This window comes from Homo sapiens, chromosome 16 (assembly GCF_000001405.40).
Source record: "Homo sapiens chromosome 16, GRCh38.p14 Primary Assembly".
Classification (NCBI taxonomy): Eukaryota; Metazoa; Chordata; class Mammalia; order Primates; family Hominidae; genus Homo; species Homo sapiens.
The window spans coordinates 23318821-23340149 of NC_000016.10; the positions used below are offsets into that span (position 1 = coordinate 23318821).

Here is a 21329-nt window from a genome sequence, read left to right on the forward strand (position 1 = left end):
GAAATCCTGCCAGCATCATGGAGGATTTGGGGCCCAACCTGAAGTCTTTGGCCTAGGGCCAGATCAAGCTGGTACTTGATTGGGCCTTGTCAACATAACCTTTTCATAGTCAAGTGCTACTAAGGTTTCTGAGATTGTGCAGGGGTGATTCTGTGTGCAAACACCAGGAAGGAGGAGGAGTCCTGCAATCTGGTTTTTTGTTTTTTGGGGGTTTTGTTTGTTTTGTTTTTTTTTTTTTTGAGACAGAGCCTCACTCTGTGCCCAGGCTGGAGTGCAGTGGCGCGATCTCAGCTTACTGCAACCTCCACCTCCTGGGTTCAAGTGATTCTCCTGCCTCAGCCTCCTGCGTAGCTGGGACTACAGGCCTGTGCCACCATATCCAGCTAATTTTTTGTATTTTTAGTGGAGACAGGGTTTCACCGTGTTAGCCAGGATGGTCTCAGTCTTAATCTCCTGACCTCGTGATCCACCTGCCTCGGCCTCCCAAAGCGCTGGGAGTACAGGTGTGAGCCACTGCGCCCAGCCCAATCTGGGCTTCCTTGCCCTCAATTAATTCCTCCAGCCTGGCAGTCTGCATACTATGGCCCAAAGGCCGGTGTTTGATCCACCAGCTGTTTTTTGTGCAGCTTGTGAGTTAAGAATGGTTTACATGGTTGAAAAAAAAAAATCACATTTCATGACACATGGAAATCAAATGAAATTCAAAATTCAGTGTTCATAAGTGAAGTGTGGTTGAAACATAGCCCGCCCAGTCATTTACATGTTATCTACGGCTGCTTTTGCACTATGATGGCAGCATTGAGTGGCCACAACATAGACTGTATGGCACGGAAAGCCTAAAATACTGCTGCCTGGCCCTTTCCCGAAAAAGTTTGCTGACTCTTGCTCTAGCTTTGTGGCTCCCAAACTCTGCTGCACATATTATCAAATTATCTAGGAAATGTTTTATTTTTTGTTTTTTTTTTGACACAGGGTCTTGCTCTGTCGCCCAGGCTGGAGTGCAGTGGCGCAATCTTGGCTCACTGCAACCTCCGCTTCCTGGGTTCAGACAATTCTCCTGCCTCAGCCTTCTGAGTAGCTGAGATAACAGGTGCACGCCACCACGTCCGACTAATTTTTGTATTTTTTTGTAGTGACGGGTGTCTCAAATTCCTGGGCTCAAGTGATCCTCTCACCTCGGCCTCCCAAAGTGCTCAGATTACAGGCGTGAGCCACCTTGCCCGGCCACGTCTCAAATGTTAACATGCGCATGAGTCACTAGGGGTCTTGTTAAAATGCAGATTCTGATTCAGTAGGTCAAGTGGGACCCAGCTTTTGCGTCTCTAACAAGCTGATGATGCCAGTGCTGCTGGTTCTGATGCCCTACTTGGAAGAGTAAGGTGGCGGGCTGGTGGTTCTCAAACTTTAGCATGGCCAGAGCCTCCTGGAAGGCTGTTAAAACCCAGATTGCTAGTTAAAACCCAGAGGCCTCGGGGGAAGACTGAGGATTTCCCTTTCTAACAAGCTCTCGGGTGATGCTGTTTCAGCCAATCTGGGGACCAGACTTGGAGAACCACTGCCCTCAGCTCTGCATTGACTCTCCCCAAGGGTTGGGGGGCCCCGCAGTCCACACAAGGTGGGATTTTTACTGTGTCTGAGGCCAGACTCCTTGACACCCAGTTCTCACTGAGGGAATTAGGTCTCAGTTGGCTTCTTCAGTCAACTGTCTCTGACCAGACTCAAGGGGTTTCCTCAAGTTCAAACCCATGACTTACAGACATGATTGGAGTTGTGAGACAGCAAAAGTTCTCGTCCATGTGTTGCAAACCTCTTCCCCATTCCAGGGGGTTCTGATCCATGCAGTTTACAGCCGAGGCCCCCTCTGAGGAGCTCTCACATTAGACACCACCGTGGGCCTCTATACAAACAAATTTGAGCCCCAGGTATGAAGTCGTGGGTAGGCCCTGGCCTTCAGCTTCAGGCCTGGAGCCCCAGGGATGGGAGGGGAAGGCCACACCCCCACAGAGAGCTGTGGCTGCTGCAGCCTCAGGGACGGGGCAGGGCCCTCTCTTGGGTCAGGCTGGGCCCAGAGCCATCTCCTCAACTGCCTTGAACAAGAATGACCACCTAAGCCCCAGCCGGTTTCCCAGAGTCCTTGAACTTGAGAGTGGTGGTGGCCGGATCTAGATGAGTGAGCTTAAGGAGATCAGAGATTATGAATTGCTGAATTCTCTTCCTGGACTTTATTTTATTTTATTTTTTTGAGACAGAGTCTCGCTCTGTCGCCCAGACTGGAGTGCAGTGGTATGATAGCCGACTGCAACCTCCGTCTCCTGGGTTCAAGTGATTATTCTGCCTCAGCCTCCTAAGTAGCTGGGACTACAGGGGTGTGCCACCATGGCCAGCTAATTTTTGAATTTTTAGTACAGACTGGGTTTCACCATGTTGGCCAGGCTGATCTCGAACTCTTACCCTCAAGTGATCCACCTGCCTCAGCCTCCCGAAGTGCTGTGATTACAGGCATGAGCCACAACGCCTGGCCTCCTTCCTGGACTCTCAACAGCATCATCTGCTTGCCTCTGGCTGGGGCTCCCTGTTCCTCTGAAGGCCCCGCCTGTGAGTGGGGGTGTGAGCAGGGCTGGTGTCTGCTGTCCATCCCAGGCAGGGCCATCAAGTCCCATAGGACAAGACAGCACACAGAGCCTGGACCCTGGGAAAGGCAGGGGTATTAGGAGGCTTGGACAGGCCTTCAGGCAAACCCTTGCTCTCTGCTCTCCAGCAGAGTGACCTTGGGCAGCTGTCTATGCTGCAGAGGCAATGACCCCCCGGAGCATTGACTCAAGGATTAAATGAGATGATGGCTTAAAGTGCCATGACAGTTCCTGGCACGTTAGGTACTCCGCGGACGGTGGCTGCTATCATCAGCGTAATAATAGATATTGGACAGACGCAGTGCCTAACACTTGTAATCCCAGCGCTTTGGGAGTCCGAAGCAAGAGAATCGCTTGAGTCCAGGAGTTTGAGATCACCCTAGACAACATGGCAAAACCCTGCCTCTACAGAAAAAATACAATAATTAGCTGGGCATGGTGGTGTGCACCTATAGTCCCAGCTACTCAGGAAGCTAAGGTGGAAGGATCGCTTGAGCCCGGGAGGCAAACGTTGCAGTGAGCTAAGATAGCACCACTGTACTCTGGCCTGGGTGACAGAGTGAGACCCTGTCTCAAATAATAATAATAGATATTAATTATGATGATTTAGTTATGTAAACTGCCCCGACACAAACTCTCTCCCATTCCCTTGGAGCCTTCCAGATACAACAGTTTTTGTTTGTTTGTTTGTTTTATGCCTGAAAAGAACCTATTTGGCTGCAACTGTATTCATTCCCGTATTAAGCCCACATTTAAGTGCCTACAGTGCCAGCCATTGATCTAGGTCAGCACTATCCAACATACATACAACACAAGCCACAGATCGGAATGGCATAAGCAATTTAAAATTTTTTTCATTTTCTCTTTTGAGACAAGGTCTCACTCTATCACCTAGGCTAGAGTGCAGTGACATGATCACGGGTCACTGCAGCCTCGACCTCCCGGGTTCCAGCGATCCTTCCACCTCAGCTCCCGAGTAGCTGGGACTATAGGTGCACACCACCATGCTTGGCTAATTTTTTTTTTTAATTTATATGTTTTGTAGGGACAGGGTCTTGCTATGTTGCCCAGACTAATCTTGAATTCCTGGCCTCAAGTGATCCTCCTGCCTGGGCCTCCCAAAGTGCTGGCATTACAGGCGTGAGCCACTATGCCCAGTCCAGCAATGTAAAATTGTCATAGCCACATTTTAAAAAGTAAAAATAAACAGATCAAACTAATTTTATTAATATATTTCATTGAACCCATATATCCAAAATATTACTTCAACATATAATCAATATTAAAGATGATTTGTGAGTTTTTAAATGCTCAATATGTCTTTTAAAATACTTAATTGTGGAAAATACATGTGTATAGCAAAATTTACACTGTGATCATTTTTACGTGTGCAGTTCAGTGGTCTTAACTCCATCCACATTATTGGTCCTCAGAAAATATTCTGAGGGCTGGGCACGGTGGCTCACGCCTGTAATCTGTAACCCAGCACTTTGGGAGGCCGAGGTGGGCAGATCACCTGAGGTCAGGGTTTCGAGACCAGCCTGGCCAACATGGTGAAATCCCATCTCTACTAAAAATACAAAAAAAAAAAAAATTAGCTCGGCATCACCATGGGCGCATGCCTGTAATCCCAGCTACTTGGGAGGCTGAGACAGAAGAACCACTTGAACCTGGGAGGCAGAGGTTGCAGTGAGCTGAGATCACAGCACTGCACTCCAGCCTGGGTGACAGGAGTGAAACTCCATCTCAATAAAAAAAAAAAAACTGGGGCTACGGAGGAGGGAGGATGACCTCCATTCACAGAGGACTTCTTGGAGGAGGTGGCACTGGAGCTGCACCTAGAAAAAGGTAGAGGATTTGTGGGTAGAGGTAAAGGTTTTGCACTCCAGGACTGAATAACAGCATGAGTGAAAGTGTGGTGGTGGGAATTCCCAGGGTACCCAAGGGCTCCAGCATGTGGTTGCATGGGTATATGCAAATAAGAAGCCTCTCATAGGCACTGATCTCTCTCCATGCCAGACACTGTGCTAGGTGCTTCATATTTACAATTTAATCTTCACATCAACTCAATGAACTCAGTACTATTTTCCCCTCATTTTACAGATGGGGAAACCAGGGCACAGAGAGGGTGAGTAAATTCCACAAGGTCACACAGTGAGTAAGTGACCCAACTGGGGTTTGAACCCAACTTCTTAACCACTACCCCATTGTAAAGGAAAGTGCAAGGAATTAAAGGAGACATCTAGGCTGGGACCAGGTTGCAAGGTGTCTTAGAAGCCAGCTAAGGGTTGAGGGGCCTTTATTCTATAGACACCAGTAGCCCTTGAAAGTTTCTGACAGGAGCATGACATAGACAGCTAAGCCTCAGGGAAGTGCAGGCCAAAGACTGAATCTTTCATTTACCAAGCTGGGAAATTCCCCTTCCAGCATCAGTCCTTTCTAAGGCAATTAAGTATCTAAACTCAGCAACCACCTACACATTTCATCCTTCTTTCTCCCTAATGAATTACAGTAGCCAACCTTCATTCAACAGGATGCTGAGAGCTTTATATGCATTTTAACCCTCACTGAAAACCAAACAAAAACGCAAGGAGGGAGGTACTATTGCTGGCCTCATTTGCAAATGAGACAACTGAGGCTCAGAGAGGTGATGCGATTTTGCCAAGATCACACAGCCACCCAGCCAGTAAGAGATGGGATGAAGATGCCACCCAAGTCTGTCTAACTCAAAAGCTCACTTTTTTTTTTTTTTTTTGAGACAGGGTCTTGCTCTGTTGTCCAGGGTGGAGTGCAGCGGTACAGTCATAGATCACTGCAGCCTGGAACTCCTGGGATCCAGCGAACCTCTCACCTCAGCCTCCCAAGTAGCTGGGACCACAGGCATGCACCACTTCACCCAACTAATTTCTTTTGTTTTTTGTTGTTGTTGCTTTTAGAGATGGTGGTCTCACTATATTGCCCAGGCTGGTCTGGAACTCCTGGCTTCAAGCAATCCTCCCACATCAGCCTCTCAAAGTGCTGGAATTACAGGCCTGAGCCACTGGCCCCTGGCACATTTTTAATAATAATAGGATCATTCCTGTTTCTCAAAGTGAAACAGAGAAAAAGAAACTATAGCTTGTCCTCCTACATAAGCCTCCAAACATTATCAGGTTGACCTTATTTTTCTGACTCTATTCTGGAATACCGCATTTTATTCCCAATGGAACAACCACCTCCCTTCTCCACCTCTACCCATCCTACCCCACCCCACACACACACGCCCCTGGCATCTTTCAAGGCTTGGCAGAAACTACCCTCTCCAAGTTGCCTCCAGCATTGGCAGGGAGGGAGCAGATGAAACTGACCACACTCTTCCCTGCTGGCTGTCAACACACACCACCCATCCTGGGCAAGTGGCCACTTCCATTTCTGGGGATGGGCTTAGGTGCTCACCATTGGCACCCCCCCAAGTCCTCTTTGTCCATTGGGACACAATGACATGGCTCCTGGCATGGGGCCTGGTGGGCAGGGTGTTTTCCTGTGTAATTGTACTCATACAGGGTAAAGCCCGGTGCAGCTGAGTGCTCTGGCAATAAGGAAAGCAAACACAGCAATAAGACTCTGTCAACAAGGGTATGGGAGAAAGGAGCCATCCAGGAAATGCAAGCTCTGGTGCAGCCACCTCCTCTGAAATCCCTCTTTGGTTCACTCCATCCCCAGCAGGACAGGTCCAGAAATTATGAAAAGAGTTGTCAGGCTGCTAGAGACCCAAGGCAGATTTTTCTAGTTGATTGAACGCTCTCCCTTTTGGTTGCTTTTATGTATTTTTCTTTTTTCTTTTTCTTTTTTTTGAGTCTGGAGTCTCACTTTGTCGCCCTGGCTGGAGTACGGTGGTGCGATCTCAGCTCATTGCAACCTCCGCCTCCCAGGTTCAAGTGACTCTCCTGCCTCAGCCTCCCGAGTTTTTGGGATTACCTTCCTGCACCACCATGCCCAGCTAATTTTTGCATTTTCAGTAGAGACGGGATTTCACCATGTTGGCCAGGCTGGTCTCAAACCTTTGACCTCAAGTGATCTGCTCACTTCAGCCTCCCAAAGTGCTGGGATTACAGGTATGAGCCACCGTGCCCAGCCTCTTTTTTGAATTTTTTTTTAAACTATAAAAGTAATACAATTTTGGAAAACAGGTACAAATATCAGAATGCAAGTTGAAATGCGCATCCGATCTTAACTTCTTATACAAACCCCTGTTCTGCCAAATAGTAGAAACTTAATTCCAACCCATCCAGCATCTCCCCAGATCCTTACACCAGGGTTGTACCTAAATTCAAGGAAGGAGGCTGGACATGGAGGCTCACATCTGTAATCTCAACACTTTGAGAGGTCGAGGCGGAAGGATTTCTTTAGACCATGAGTTTGAGACCAGCCTGGGCAACATAGTGAGACCCTGTCTCTAATAAATAAATAAATAAATAAATAAATAAATAAATATAAATAAAAGCCACACAGCTGTAGTCTCAGCTACTTAGCTACTCGGGAGACTGAGGTGGGAATATCTCTTGAGCCAGGGAGTTTGAGGCTGCAGTGAGCTATGATTGCACCACTGCACTCCAGCCTGGGCAACAGAGCAAGACCTTGTCTCTAAAATAAACAAAACAAAAAAATTCTTGGAAGCTTAACTTTTTTTTTTAAGTCTGTATTTCCTGCTTCCCTACAACTATCTTTGCCTAACAATAGATTTTTTCATATACTTAGAATCCTGGTTTTTTTCAAGCAGCATTCTATTATAAGCTTTTTTCCATTTTGCTATTAAAAATTATCTTCTCATTTATTACTTTTATGATGCAAGCAATATATGTTCATTGTAGGAAAGTTACAAAGCACAGATAAACTAAAACAATTTCTTAAAAATAACTCAAGATCCTGCTACCCAGAGATAATCATTATAAACGTTCTGGTTAATGCCATCTGTGTTATTTTTCCTATGCACATAGATGCATATAAACCCACATGGTTTTTTTGTTTTTTGTTTTGTTTCTTTGTTTGTTTTGAGACAGAGTCTCACTCTGTCACCCAGGCTGGAGTGCTGTGGTGTGATTTCGGCTCACTGCAAACTCTGCCTCCCAGGGTCAAGCAATTCTCCTGCCTTAGCCTCCCGAGTAGCTGGGATTATAGGTGTGCGCCACCATGCCCAGCTAATTTTTTTTGTATTTTTAGTAGAGACAGGGTTTCATCATGTTGGCCAGCCTGGTTTCAAACTCCTGGCCTCAAGTGATCCACCTGCCTCAGCCTCCCAAAGTGCTAGGATTACAGGTGTGAGCCACCACACTCAGTCATTATTTTTTATTTTTACAAATTTATGGGGAACAAATGCAGTTTTGCTACATGGATATACTGCCTAGTGGTGACGTCTGGGTTTTCAGTGTAACAGTGTACAGCGTACCCATTAGGTAATTCCTCATTCCTAACCCCTCTCCTACTCTCTCAAGTCTCCAGTGATTATTATGTTCTTTTATTGCTATTGCCCAGGCTGGAGTGCAGTGGTGCAATCATAGCTCACCACAGCCTCAAACTCCCAGACTCAAGCAATCTTCCCGCCTCAGCCTTCCAAGAAGCTGGGACTACAGGCATGCATCACTATGCTCAGCTAACGTTTTTATTTTTTGTAGAGGTGGGATCTCGCTATATTGCCCTGGATGGTCTCAAACTCCTGGCCTCAAGTGATCCTCCCACCTTGACCTCTCAAAGTGCTGGGATTACAGACAGGAGCCACCATGCCTGGCCTAACATAGTTTTTTTAAAAAAACAAAAATAATTGGCTGGGAATGGTGGCTCACGCCTGTAATCCCAGCACTTTGGGAGGCCAAGACAGGCAGATCACCTGAGGCCAGGAGTTCAAGATCAGCCTGGCCAACATGGTGAAACCTCCATCTCTACTAAGAATACAAAAATTAGCCAGGCATGGTGGTGCACGCCTGTAATCCCAGCTACTCAGGAGGCTGAAGCAGAGAGAATCACTTGAACCCAGGAGGTGGAGGTTGCAGTGAGCCAAGATTGCGCCATTGCACTCCAGCCTGGGAGGCAGAGCAAGACTCCATCTCAAAAATGATAATAATAATAATAATAACTAACCATTTTTCTTAATGGCTCCCCAATACCTCATTGTGTGCCTGTATCGTAGTTTGTGGAACCCTTCTGCTCTTGCATGTTTAAGGTTTCTTGCCATGAGTGTCTGTATCCATACAGAGAAGCTGGGCAGAGAGGATTTAGCCATCGCAAAATGTGGTCACCTCTCAAACCAAAATGTGGTGCTTGGCTAGCAGGTGAACAAGAAAATGACAAACCAGGAGCCCTTCTGGCCTCATGACAAGATGGGTCCTCCAAAGGCCAGATGTACACTTGTTTTTCCTTGAAAAGGACATTCACAAAGAAAAGAATAAACAGGAAGGTTTTCCTCACAGCTATGACCACATCTTCTGTCTTAGAGTTTGGGGTCTTCCGGATCAGTTGGCAAGACATGTGTCAGGCTGCTGGGATGGAGGCCTATATCATCCTAGAGCCAGCAGTGGAGAAACCCACAGAACAAGTCTTGTAAGGAAGCCGCCAAGCATGGCAGCTGGGGCCGAGGGGTCAGTAGGGCCAGTTGTCTTTAAGTCACAAGTGGGAAGGTGTTTTATCTAATCTGGTGAGTTTACAAGACAAGAAAGGATCTTTGCTGAATCTGTCACCCCACGCAGAGTGGCATGTGCAGATGGCTTTTAGATAGTGCACAGACAATTGCTTTTCATCTCATTAGTAATTATTTATGTTGAGGGGTATTAGAAAACATATATAATTAGTAGCATCCAACCTGTGATTTTGTGGACATTCTTGCTTAGGACAAAACTAAAGTAGATATTTAAGTAAAAAACAAGAGTGAGTCAACTTAAAGAAAGATATTAAGTAAATGATAGTATAATTGGTTCCCAGGGACAGCCCAGATCATGATGGGCACGAAGTCCATCCTTGTACATCTCAAAGTCAGCCCTTGTGCATTAAGTACTTAGTCCCTGAGAATAGAAAGACAGCCAGCAATCTTTCACTCCAATCTTTGGTCTGTCTTTGCTACAAGAGGCCTCTGTTTTCAGAGACAGCTTCTCAGAGCTTCTTAACAAGCATGAGCTGGACTCAAGAACCCAGGAGGTACTGGAAACAGGCAGTCAGCACAGATGCAACATCTGAGTTCCTAAAATTCGGAAGTGGGTCAGGTCAGTTTCAAACATGGAAGTCCTGTCCTGCAACAATTTGGTTAAATGCCTCTGAATCGTGGGTGGTGGTTTCGCCACCCATGCTATACCTTGAGCGTTTATTTTTGAAGTGAGTTTTTGTTTGTTTGTTTTTTGAGACAGGGTCTCGCTCTGTCACCCAGGCTGGAGGGCAGTGGCATGATCATGGCTCACTGCAGCCTTGAACTCCTGGACTCAAGTGATCCTCCGACCTCAGCCTCCTGAGTTGTTGGGACTACAGGCACGCACCACCATACCCAGTTCATTTTTTAAGATTTTTTTTGTAGAGAGACGGTCACGCTGTCTTGCCCAGGCTGGTCTTGAACTCCTGGGCTCAAGCGATCTTCCAACCTCGGCCTCCCAAAGTGCTGGGATTACAGGCATGAGCCACCATGCCTAGCTTGTTTATTATTATCATTATTATTATTATTAGAGACAGGGTCTCGCTCTGTCCCCCAGGCTGGAGTGCAATGGTGCAATCATGGCTCACTGCAGCCTCATCGGTTTGGGCTCAAGGGATCCTCTCACCTCAGCCTCCTGAGTAGCTGGGACTATAGGTGTGTGCCACCAAACATGGCTAATTTTTGTATTTTTTTGTTTCACCAACATGGTTTCACTGTATTGCCCAGACTGGTCTCAAACTCCTGGGCCCAAGCGATCCTCCCACCTCGGCCTCCCAAAGTGCTTGGATTACAGTTGGGAACCACTGTATCCAGCCTGTTTATTTTAAACGCTAGTTTTCCTTTTGTATTTAGAAGACAATAATTTTTCTACTTGCCTAATGAAGTGAACCACAGCTAATAAGAGCTGATGCACCCATAGTGCTGTGAACTACACATTGTTTTAAGCACCCTCGGAGGTAGGTGTAATACTGCCCTCTCCATGCAGTTGAGGAGACAGAGACACAGAGATACCATGTAGCTTGTGCAGGGTTACATGGCACAGCTGAGCATTCACACCCAAAGCTTGGCTCCAGCAACCAAGCCCTGACCAACTCCCCAGTAAGGGGAATCATGGTAAAGCCCTTCCTTCAAACTGTATCTTTATTGCATCTTTTTTTCCATACTGGGGGTCATGCACACTCACATTCTAACCAGGCGATAGAAGGCTTTCTTCTTTTGAAAATATGCCAGCCTGGGCAACATGGTGAGACTCTGTCTCTACAAAATATTTTAAAAATTAGTTGGGTGTGGTGGCATGTGCCTGTGGTCTCAGCTACATGGGAGACTGAGGCGGGAGAATCACTTGAGCCCAGGCAGTTGGAGGCTGCGGTGAATTGCGATTGCACCACTGCACTCCAGCCTGTGTCACAGAGTGAGACCCTGTCTCAAAAAAAAAAAAAGAAAAAAAGAGAGCGAAAGAAAGAAAAGAAAATATGGCCCAGCTCAGCAAAACATTGTTGACTGTGGCTCCAGGCAGAAGCCCATGTTTTGCAGCTACCCATGTGTCGCCTTTGAGGGCCTTAGGAAAAGTCACTTCTTTGTGTGGCTGTAGTGCCCAGGGACCCCGACTCGGCAGGTGGAGCATGGGCTGGACTTCCAGCTCTTGTCCGGCATCCTCCAACCTGGATGGGCCCAACGTGAACAATCCCCTTGGTCCCTTGATGGTTAGGAAGAAAAGCAGGCACAAGCAGCTGTTCTGAGGCTATAGCGGTTTTGCTTGGAGCATTGGCCCACGTGTGAGGTTGGGATTGACAAAAGCAGGCTGAGAGAGATGAGGGCCTTGGAAGGAACAGGAAAGAGGCCAGACAGGATTCTGAGGGGCATTTCCCCCAGCGCCTTGCTTTCGGATCCTGCAGCCTGTTCTCTGTGCAGTGCCTGAGGGGCAGGGATGTGTGCTGTACTGAGCTCTGAGGAATGAGATCTCTTGTCTTTTTGTTTTTTGGGTGGTTTTAGACCAGGGTCCTGCTCTGGTGCCCGGGCTGGAGTGCAGTGGCGCGATCATAGTTCACTGCAGCCTCCAACCCCTGGGCTTAAGTGATCCTCCCTCCTCAGCCTCCTGAACAGTTGGGACTAGAGTCATGTGCCACCACACCTGGCTAATTTGTAAATTTTTTCTAGAAATGGGGTCTTGCTATGTTGCCCAGGTTCTTGAACTCCTGGCCTCAAGCGATCCTCCTGCTGCAGCCTCCCAAGTGGCAGGCATGAGCCACCATGCCCGGCCGAGATCTCTTAAGGGCAGTCGAGGCTTCCCTGGAGCTAGCTGCAGGAGATGGAGATAACCCGGGTTATGGCTTCACATCTGGAGACCAGACAAGGTTTTCCAAGGACCCTGGCACATGCTCCCTGAAAGGTGTGGCCAGCGTTCTTTATCACCAGCCAGCAGCTTTCATCTGAGCTCTTATCTGATACTTGCCATGATTCATCTTCCATCTCAGGACCAGCTAGATGGGCACAGCCGAGCTGCATTGAGCCCACAGGAGGGCAGGGCTGTGTTGAAGAGGGTGGCAGGTCTCTGCCCCACACAACTTGCTCACCCTCCCCACTGGCTCCTGTCAGAATCACTCCCTTCTTTCTCAGCGCTCCTGGGTGGTGTGTAGCACTTGCAAGTTTGGCCTTAAGTACTCCCTTCTTTTCCCAACAGCCCAGATGACAAAGTTCAAGGGGCCAGGGAGCTTTTCCTAGTCACTTTTTTTTTTTTTTTTTGAGACAGAGTCTCACTTTGTCATCCAGGCTGGAGTGCAGTGGTGCAATCTCTACTCACTACAACCTCTGCCTCCTGGGTTCAAGTGATTCTCCTGCGTCAGCCTCCCAAATAGCTGCTATTACAAGTACCCACCACCAGGTCCAGCTAATTTTTGTATTTTTTTTAGTAGATCCGCCATGTTGGCCAGGCTGGTCTCGAACTCTTGACCTCAGGTGATCCACCTGCCTTGGGCTCCCAGAGTGCTGGGATTACAAGCTTGAGCCACCACGCCCGGCCTCCTGGTCACTTTTATAAGTACACTAATCCCACTCATGATACATGATTCAACACCTCCCAAAGGCCAGCCTCATTTCAACATATGAATTCATTTTAAAATATGAATTTGGTGGGGGGACACATTCATTCAGATCACAGCACCAGCACAGCTCAGAATTAGCACAGGAGGGGGAGCATCTATTCCAGGTCTGAGTTCTGTCTCAACAGGGGCCTCTTTGTAGGATCAACACTGGCCATATAAAGGGGTGGGAGGAACTTACACCACCATGAAGTGTGAGCTAAGGACAGGGCATTATAAGGAAACCCACAGGGCTGTTTTGTGTGGGGGTGGGTTTTTGCTTGTTTGTTTGTTTGTTTGTTTGTGATAAGGTGTGCTGAGCTCTGAGGAATGGGATCTCTTGTCTTTTTGTTTTTTGGGTTGTTTTTAGAGACAGGGTCCTGCTCTATTGCCCAGGCTAGATTGCAGTGGTGCAATCACAACTCACTGCAGCCTCAACCTCCTGGGCTCAAATGATTCTCCCACTTCAGCCTCCCAAGCAGCTGGGACCACAGGCACATGCCATCATGCCCAGCTCTTTTTTTTTTTTCTTTTTTGAGATGGAGTCTCGCTCTGTTGCCCAGGCTGGAGTGCAGTGGTGTGATCTCGACTCACTGAAACCTCTGCCTCCCGAGTTCAAGCGATTCTCCTGCCTCAGCCTCCCGAGTAGCTGGGATTACAGGCGCCCACCACCATGCCCAGCTAATTTTTTGTATATTTAGTAGAGACGAGGTTTCACCATGTTGATCAGGCTGGTCTTGAACTCCTGACCTCAGGTAATCCACCCACCTCGGCCTCCCAAAGTGCTGGGATTACAGGAGTAAAGCACAGCACCCGGCCTCGTTTTTTATTTTTTGTAGAGACGGGATCTCACTATGTCGCCAGGCTGATCTCGTACTCCTAAGCTCAAGTGATCCTCCTGCTTTGGCTTCCCAAGGTGCTGGAATTACAGGCATGAGCCACCATGCCTGGTCAGAGATGTTTTTTATCCCCTAGGCTCCCTGTAATCCCACATATAGGCATTGCCAGGGCCAGGGCACCTGCTGACATGGTGAGGATTCCATCCTAGTGGAGTGACCCCAGCCTCACGGGTCTTCCTTCAAAGGAGCCAAGTGTAGAAAAGTGGCCTTGTTGGCCAGGCACAGTGGCTCATGCCCGTAATCCCAGCACTTTGGGAGGCCGAGGCAGTGGATTACGAGGTCAGGAGTTCAAGACCAGTCTGGTCAAGATGGTGAAACCCCACCTCTACTAAAAATACAAAAACTTAGCTGGACGCGGCGGCAGGCGCCTGTAATCCCAGCTTACTCGGGAGGTTGAGGCAGGAGAATCGCTTGAACCTGGGGGGCAGAGGTTGCAGTGAGCCAAAATCGCCCCATTGCACTCCAGCCTGGGCGACAGAGTGAGACTCCAAAAAAATAAAAAAGAAGAAGAAGAAAGGGAGGAAGGAAGGAAGGGAGGGAGGGAGGGAGGGAGGGAGGGAGGAAGGAAGGAAAGAAGGAAGGAAGGAAGGAAGGAAGGAAGGAAGGAAGGAAGGAAGGAAGGAAGGAAGGAAGGAAGAAAGAAAAAAGGCCTTATTGCTGAAGCATAGATGGCCACCAGGGCCAGGCAGGCTAGGTTTAGGTGCAGCTGTTTGCAGTTGTTGTCTGGGAAAACCAGCTGCCAGCCATTGAGGAATTCGGGACAACTAGAGACCTTGGGGAGTATGGGATTTCCCTGCCAGGGAGTGACTCAGTCCCACGAGAAGCAGAGTCTAGAGACCTCTTCTCTGCTTGGCCATTTCTCTGTGAATGACAGTTCCAACCACCCATGGTAAACACCCAGGGCCATTTTGAATAATTCTACACCTTCCATAAAATGTTAATACCAAGAATAATAATTTTTAAAAATAACAATAGCTGCCATTTATGAACACTTACTTTGCGACGGGCACTGTGCAAACTGCTTCCCATGCCTTATCTTATTGAATCCTGACAACAACCTAGAAGGCACAGGTACTATTATTCCCATTTGCAGATGATAAAATTAAGGCTCATGGCTGGATGCAATGGCTCGCACTTGTAATCCCAGCACTTTGGGAGGCCAAGGTGGGGGGATTGCTTGAGCCCAGGAGTTTGAGACCAGCCTGGGCAATACAGCAAGACCCCATCTCTAATTTAAAAATTAAATTAAGTTAAAATTTAAAAATAAAGACTCAGAGAGACCAACCTATTTACGTCATGGATTGAGCCCCTTCCTTAAGGAGATGGCAGAACCAGACCCTAACTGGGGCCTAACTCCCAAACCCTACCCTGTCTGCCCTTGAATGGGAATGTTAGTCACATCCAGGTCCTTAACGCCCAGATGTGCTGTGCTTGCCTGCGATGTGGATGGGAATTACTCATCACCATGTAAGGTTGCTCCCTGCCCCATAGAATGAGAGGGTGACTCTGCCATTGCCACACCATGGAATGAAACCGTGGGACAGCCACCAACATGCCCCCAACAGGGTGGACAGCCACATTCCCCAGACACCACCCAACACGTGGGGCAGCGACCCCAGAGAACATCTCCACGTGGTGTGGGAGTGTGGCTACCGCCTCAACACTGCCTTACAGTGAACCTCCCATGACCCACCCCGGAGAACTCAGAGTTGACATCAGCATGACATTGCTGTAAATTCTTAGCATTTCAGGGCTCGAATGAGTGATAAAGTGTTTCTAAACCAGTGCTTTCCAGCCTTTTTCGAGTCATGGACTATATACATGCATACTGTATGCACAGGATTCACACTACAGTAAAGAGACAAGGTGGCATGTGACCAATGGCAGTGGAGGGCAGGCAGTGGGGGACAGGGGTGCTCCAGCCGCCCACAGGTCTAGAACATCAACACTTCAGCTCACCTGAAACCCTGAGGCACACCCGTCTGGACTGCCCTAGTCCTGCCTTAACCTGCAGCAGCTGTTCTTCCTTGCTTTGCTTCCTCAGCTCTTGTGGTAAAGCTGTTTGCACCCCATTCACCCCTCTGCAACCTTCTCATTCTAAGTGGTCAAGCTGTTTCCCATTTGAGAATATTACAGTGTTGCAATCAACATCCTTAAACTGTGCACACGTGTGTGCATGCACCAATGCACCAAAGCACACTTACTACATGAAGTGGAACTGTGGGGTCATGGGCTGTCACATTTTAAATGTAGTAGGGACTGCCAGATTGCTGTCCAAATGACTGCACCAATTTCAACCCCATCAGCACATAAACGTGTTTTTTTCCCCAGAGCTCGGCCCATACTTAGTATTATGGAACAGTTTAATCTTTGCAAATCTAATCACTGCTATACAAATTTTTTGGCTCTAACTCTAATCAGTCCACATTTTAAATTTTAATTGCTCTTTTCAATATTTTTTTTCTCTTTCCTGTGGACATGTAAGCTACACGAAGGCAGAGATTCATTGCCTGACTGTTTTGTTCACTGATGAATGTCCAGCACCTAGAACAGTGCAGAGTACACAATGGATGATTAATCAATATTTGCTGACTGAATAGATTAAACATTGATATGCTGCAAAATTCAAAAGGTGCAAAAGGAGTAAATAATTTTTTTATGTCTCCTTTTCTGCCTGTTCCCCCAGCCACTCAGTTCCTTTCTTGAGGGCAACTCATATTACCACTTTCTTGTGTGACCTGGTAGAAGGACTGCACAGATACAAGGAAATACCTCTATGTTGCCTAAGCTGGCCTCATACTTGTGGGCTCAAAGATCCTCCTGCCTCAGCCTCCCAAAGTGCTGGGATTATAGGAGTGAGCCACCGTGCCAGCCTGTATTTTCTTTTTTTTTTTTTTTAGATGGAGTTTCTCTCTGTCGCCCAGGCCGGAGGGCAGGCTTGGCTCACTGCAACCTCCGCATCCCAGGTTCAAGCGATTCTCCTGCCTCAGCCTCCCAATAGCTGGGATTACAGGTGTGTGCCACCATGCCCAGCTAATATTTGTATTTTTAGTAGAGACAGGGTTTTGCCATTTTGGCCAGACTAGTCTTGAACTCCTGACCTCAGGTAATCCACCTGCCTCAGCCTCCCAAAGTGCTGGGATTATAGGTGTGAGCCACTGTGCCCGGCCTCTATTTTTTTTTTTTAACATAAATGCATGTGTGCTTCATATGCTGTTCTACCCTTTCTTTGCTCTCACTTAACTGTATATATTGACAACATTCACTGTCTCTGATCAGCTCAAATAAGACCTGTATCTTAGAGGGCTGTGGAGGAAGCCACTTTCCCTATCGTCTCCATTAGTCATGCTGTGTTTGGCTTTCTGGGAGCACCCCTAGATGTCAGGGAACCACAGCCTTGGGCAAAAGAGGTTCATAGGTGCACACAGAGGATGCGGGCAGCTGCATGGCCCCACTTCAGATTTCCCCAACACCCACCAGAACAGGTGCAAGATGTCAGGTGCCCCGTCTGAGCTAGTAGGTGAGAGGTGGCCGGAAGCCAGGCAATCTGGTTTCTATTTTCAGACCTGCCCTTTGACTCACCATGACTGTGGGTAAGTCCCTCTGAGTCCCTCTGTGCTCTAAATTCGCTGTGTAATGGGCATAATTATGCCCACCCCAACATACTTAAAAGGACGGCATGAAGCCACACCAGGAAATGCCTTGGAAGAGAGCATATGTCCTTGGACCAGTACATGCTTCAGCCCGTGAAAGACAATTAACAGGGCATTTCCCAAAGGGTGGTAAGCAAGACGATTTTTTTTTTTTTTTTTTTGAGACGGAGTCTCGCTCTGTCGCCAGGCTGGAGTGCAGGGGCACGATCTCGGCTCACTGCAGCCTTCCCCTCCCGGGTTCAAGCAATTCTCCTGCCTCAGCCTCCTGAGTAGCTGAGACCACAGATGCGTGCCACCATGCCCAGCTAATTTGTGTATTTTTAGTAGAGACGGGGTTTCACCATGTTGGCCAGGATGGTCTCGATTTCTTGACCTCATGATCTGCCCACCTCGGCCTCCCAAAGTGCTGGGATTACAGACTTGAGCCACCAAGCCTGGCCAAGATGATTTTTTTTTCAATGATTCTCAGAGGAACCTTTTTCTGAATAGTTAAGAAAGTATGTTCATGTGTATTAGGAAAAAATGGCTCAGCACATCAAACCTGTTATTTCACAGGTGTAATATTGCTTTGTATTCATAGTAGTGCCTAGGAGGAAGTTGAGTTTATTTTAGCCAAAAATAAAAAAATGAGATGATGTGGCATTATCTAGTAAGTAAATAATGATACAAGTGCTACACAGATTTAGCAAAAATTGCAAAAGTGGTATACAAATGATCAATGCTAAGGAAAGCATTGAATTAGCAGGTAGTTAGAGGGAAATAACAAAATCAAGCTTATAAATATTTATATGAAATACTCATTTGAAATATTTCTTTTTACTATTTATTTATTAATTTTTTAGACAGTGTCTTGCTGTGTCACCCAGGCTAGGCTTGCAATGATACAATCATAGCTAATTGCAACCTCCAACTCCTGGGCTCAAGCAATCCTCCCACCTCAGCCTCCCCGGTAGCTGAGACCACAGGCACATGCCACCACATTTGGCTAATTTTGTAAGTTTTTTGTAGAGGTGAGGCTTTCAATATGTTACCTGGGCTGGTTTCAAACTCCTGGACTCCAGTGATCCTCCTGCTTCAGTCTCCCAAAGCACTGGGATTACAGGCATGAGCTACCAGGAGTGGCCAGGTTTCTTTCTCTTTCTTTCTTTTTTTTTTTTTTTTGAGATGGAGTTTCACTCTTGTCGTCCAGGCTGGAGTGCAGTGGTATGATCTCGGCTCACTGCAACCTCCACCTCCCTACCAGGTTCAAGCAATTCTCCTGCCTCAGCCTCCCAAGTAGCTGGAATTATAGGCACCTGTCACCATGCCCGGCTAATTTTTGTATTTTTAGTAGAGACAGGGTTTCACCATGTTGACCAGGCTGGTCTCGAATTCCTGACCTCAGGTGATCCACTCACCTCGGCCTCCCAAAGTGCTGTGATTACAGGCTTGAGCCACCGTGCTTGGCCCCAGGTTTCTTCTTATTTAGTGCAAATATATATGACATAGTAAATCAGAGATCAGCAAACTTCTTTAAAGTACCAGATGGTTAATATTTAAACATTTAAAACATATAGGCCAGGCACAGTGGCTCATACCTGTAATCCCAGCACTTTGGGAAGCCAAAGCAGGAGGATCACTTGAACCCAGGAGTTCAAGACCAGCTGGGCAACATGGCAAAACCCCATTTCTACCAAAAAAAAATAATAATAACAAAAATTAGCCGGGTGGCACGCACCTGTAGTCCCAGCTACTTAGGACACTGAGGTGGGAGGATCGCTGGAGTCCAGAAGGTTGAGGCTGCAGTGAGCTGAGATTGTGCCACTGCACTTCAACCTGTATGACAGAGTGAGACTCCGTGTCAAAAAAACCACAACAACAAAAAAGAAAGGCTCATTTAATACATTTCCTGCACCAAAGCTGGTAGCAACCATTTTTCTAAGAAGCCCTGGTTCTTTTAGTCAAAAATGGTATTTAGAGACCAAAATCTTGGTGCTGGGAATGCACATAATATTTGAATTTATAAATAGAAATTGTGTCCAAGGTATGCCCTGGCTTCTCTAGAGATCCTGACAGCTTCCCTAAAACTCTTCTTCACTTTTTCTGGCCTGGACACTAAACCTCAGCTGTGGCTGTTACACCTGGCCAGGTGCTTGAGAATAAAGAGTCAGTCATGTCCTCTGGTTGCCCTTGCAGAGGCAGAAACATGCAAGATTTTTCAATAACCAGAGTCAAATCCACTTTCAGGTTAACCTTCAATTAACTTTAAAAATCCAGCTACCAGAAACCATATTCCCCAGTAATCTTGGATAATTGAGGTTTTGCTGCGAAAATAAGTACAGGGGATTTTAATGAAAGCATCTGACCTGCAATTTACAGGAGTCACAAAGTCAGATGTCCACATGAGCCAGAGCAGCTAATGAAAATGAGTAAAGAGGGCTGGGTATAAGACAGCATGGAATGGGAAGAATTGGGGTGAGCTGGGAACACACTACCCATCCAAGGAGAGCAGCTGCTAGTCAAATCTAGCAGAACATGGTCATGCGGGGACAACCGTCACATCTTTCTGACTTTTCAAAGGATGAAGAAAATCCACGTTTTAAAAAAATGTGAAATCTCATCATTTTGAAATGGCAATGGATTAAAGTCTTTTGTTAGAACTTTATTGAGACATAATTTACATATAATAGAATGCATCCATTTGAAGCATATTGTTTGATGAGTTTTCACAAGTGTATGCATTTAATGAACCACCATCCCATTCAAGATCTAGAATATTCTCATCGTCTCCAAAAGGCTCCCTGTACAACTTTTAGTCAATCCACTACTCACCCAAGGCCCAGATACTTACTGATCTGCTTTCTGTCACAATAGATTAATTCATATTTTCTAGGGGTTCATATAATGGAATTCTATAGTATGTATTCTTACGTGTTTAGCTTTTTACTCGGCTTAATATTTTTTATATACGTCCATGTTTTATGTATCAATAGTTGGTTCCTTTTTATTGTTGAATGGAATCCTATTATGGATATGCCGTAATTTATTTATTTCTTCCCCTGTTGGTGGACGTGTGGATTGCTTCTAGGTGGGGGCTATTATGAATAAGTGAACATATATGTACAAGTCTGTGTGTGAAAGTATGTTTTTCTCCTGGATAAGTAAAAGTGGAATTGCTGGGTCATATGATAACTGTTCATTTAACTTTTTTTTTTTAAATATAGAGACAGGGTCTTACTATGTTACCAAGGCTGGCCTCAAACTCCTGGGCTCAAGCAATCCTCCTGGCTTGGCCTCCCAAAGTGCTGGGATTACAGGCGTGAACCACTGCACCTGGCATCCTTAACTTATTTTTATTATTATTATTATTATTTTGAGATGGAGTCTCACTCTGTCACCCAGGCTGGAGTGCAATGGCACGATCTCGACTCACTGCAACCTCTACCTCCTGGGCTCAAGCGATTCTCCTGTCTCAGCCTCCCAAGTAGCTGGGATTACAGGCGTGTGGCACCACTCCCAGCTAATTTTTTTGTATTTTTAGTAGAGACAGGGTTTCACCATGTTGGCCACGGAGTCTCAAACTCCTGACCTCAAGTGATCCACCCACCTTGACCTCCCAAAGTATTGGGATTACAGGTGTGAGCCACCGCGCCTGGCAACTTTACAAGAAACTATATCAAACTACCTTCCAAAGTGACTGTACCATTTTGCATTCCAACCAGCTGTGTAGGAGAATTCCGGTTGCTACACATCCTCACCAATACTAGATACTATCAGTCCTTCTAATGGGTGTGAAGTGATAGCTCATTGTGGGTGGTTTTGATCTGCATTTCTCCAGTGACTAATGATGGTGAGCATTTTTTTGCATGCTTATGGGCCATTCATATTTCCTCTTTTATGGTGTCTATTCAAATCATTGGCCCATTTTTTGTTGAACTGTT

At 46.7% G+C, this 21329-nt stretch overlaps 1 protein-coding gene across 5 annotated transcripts in view, besides 1 other annotated feature; it reads left to right on the forward strand.

Annotated features, from left to right (window-relative positions):
* Positions 1-21329, forward strand: part of SCNN1B (sodium channel epithelial 1 subunit beta) — a 103064-nt gene that overhangs the window by 40590 nt on the left and 41145 nt on the right. The window contains exon 2 of one of the 5 annotated variants that reach the window (XM_011545913.3): positions 4734-4758. The exons of 3 other annotated variants lie outside the window; for them this stretch is intronic. In XM_011545913.3, the coding sequence (XP_011544215.1) occupies positions 4734-4758 (25 nt within the window). Of the gene's footprint in view, positions 1-4733; positions 4759-17323; positions 17350-21329 lie in introns of those variants that run through there. One more of the 5 variants, XM_011545914.2, reaches the window with a different exon arrangement.
* Positions 17147-17426: an enhancer, noted in NCBI's record as "active region_10578". NCBI's record gives its function as "activates an Ori minimal core promoter by ATAC-STARR-seq in GM12878 lymphoblastoid cells {active_cell/tissue: GM12878}" and the evidence as "EXISTENCE:reporter gene assay evidence [ECO:0000049][PMID:35858748]".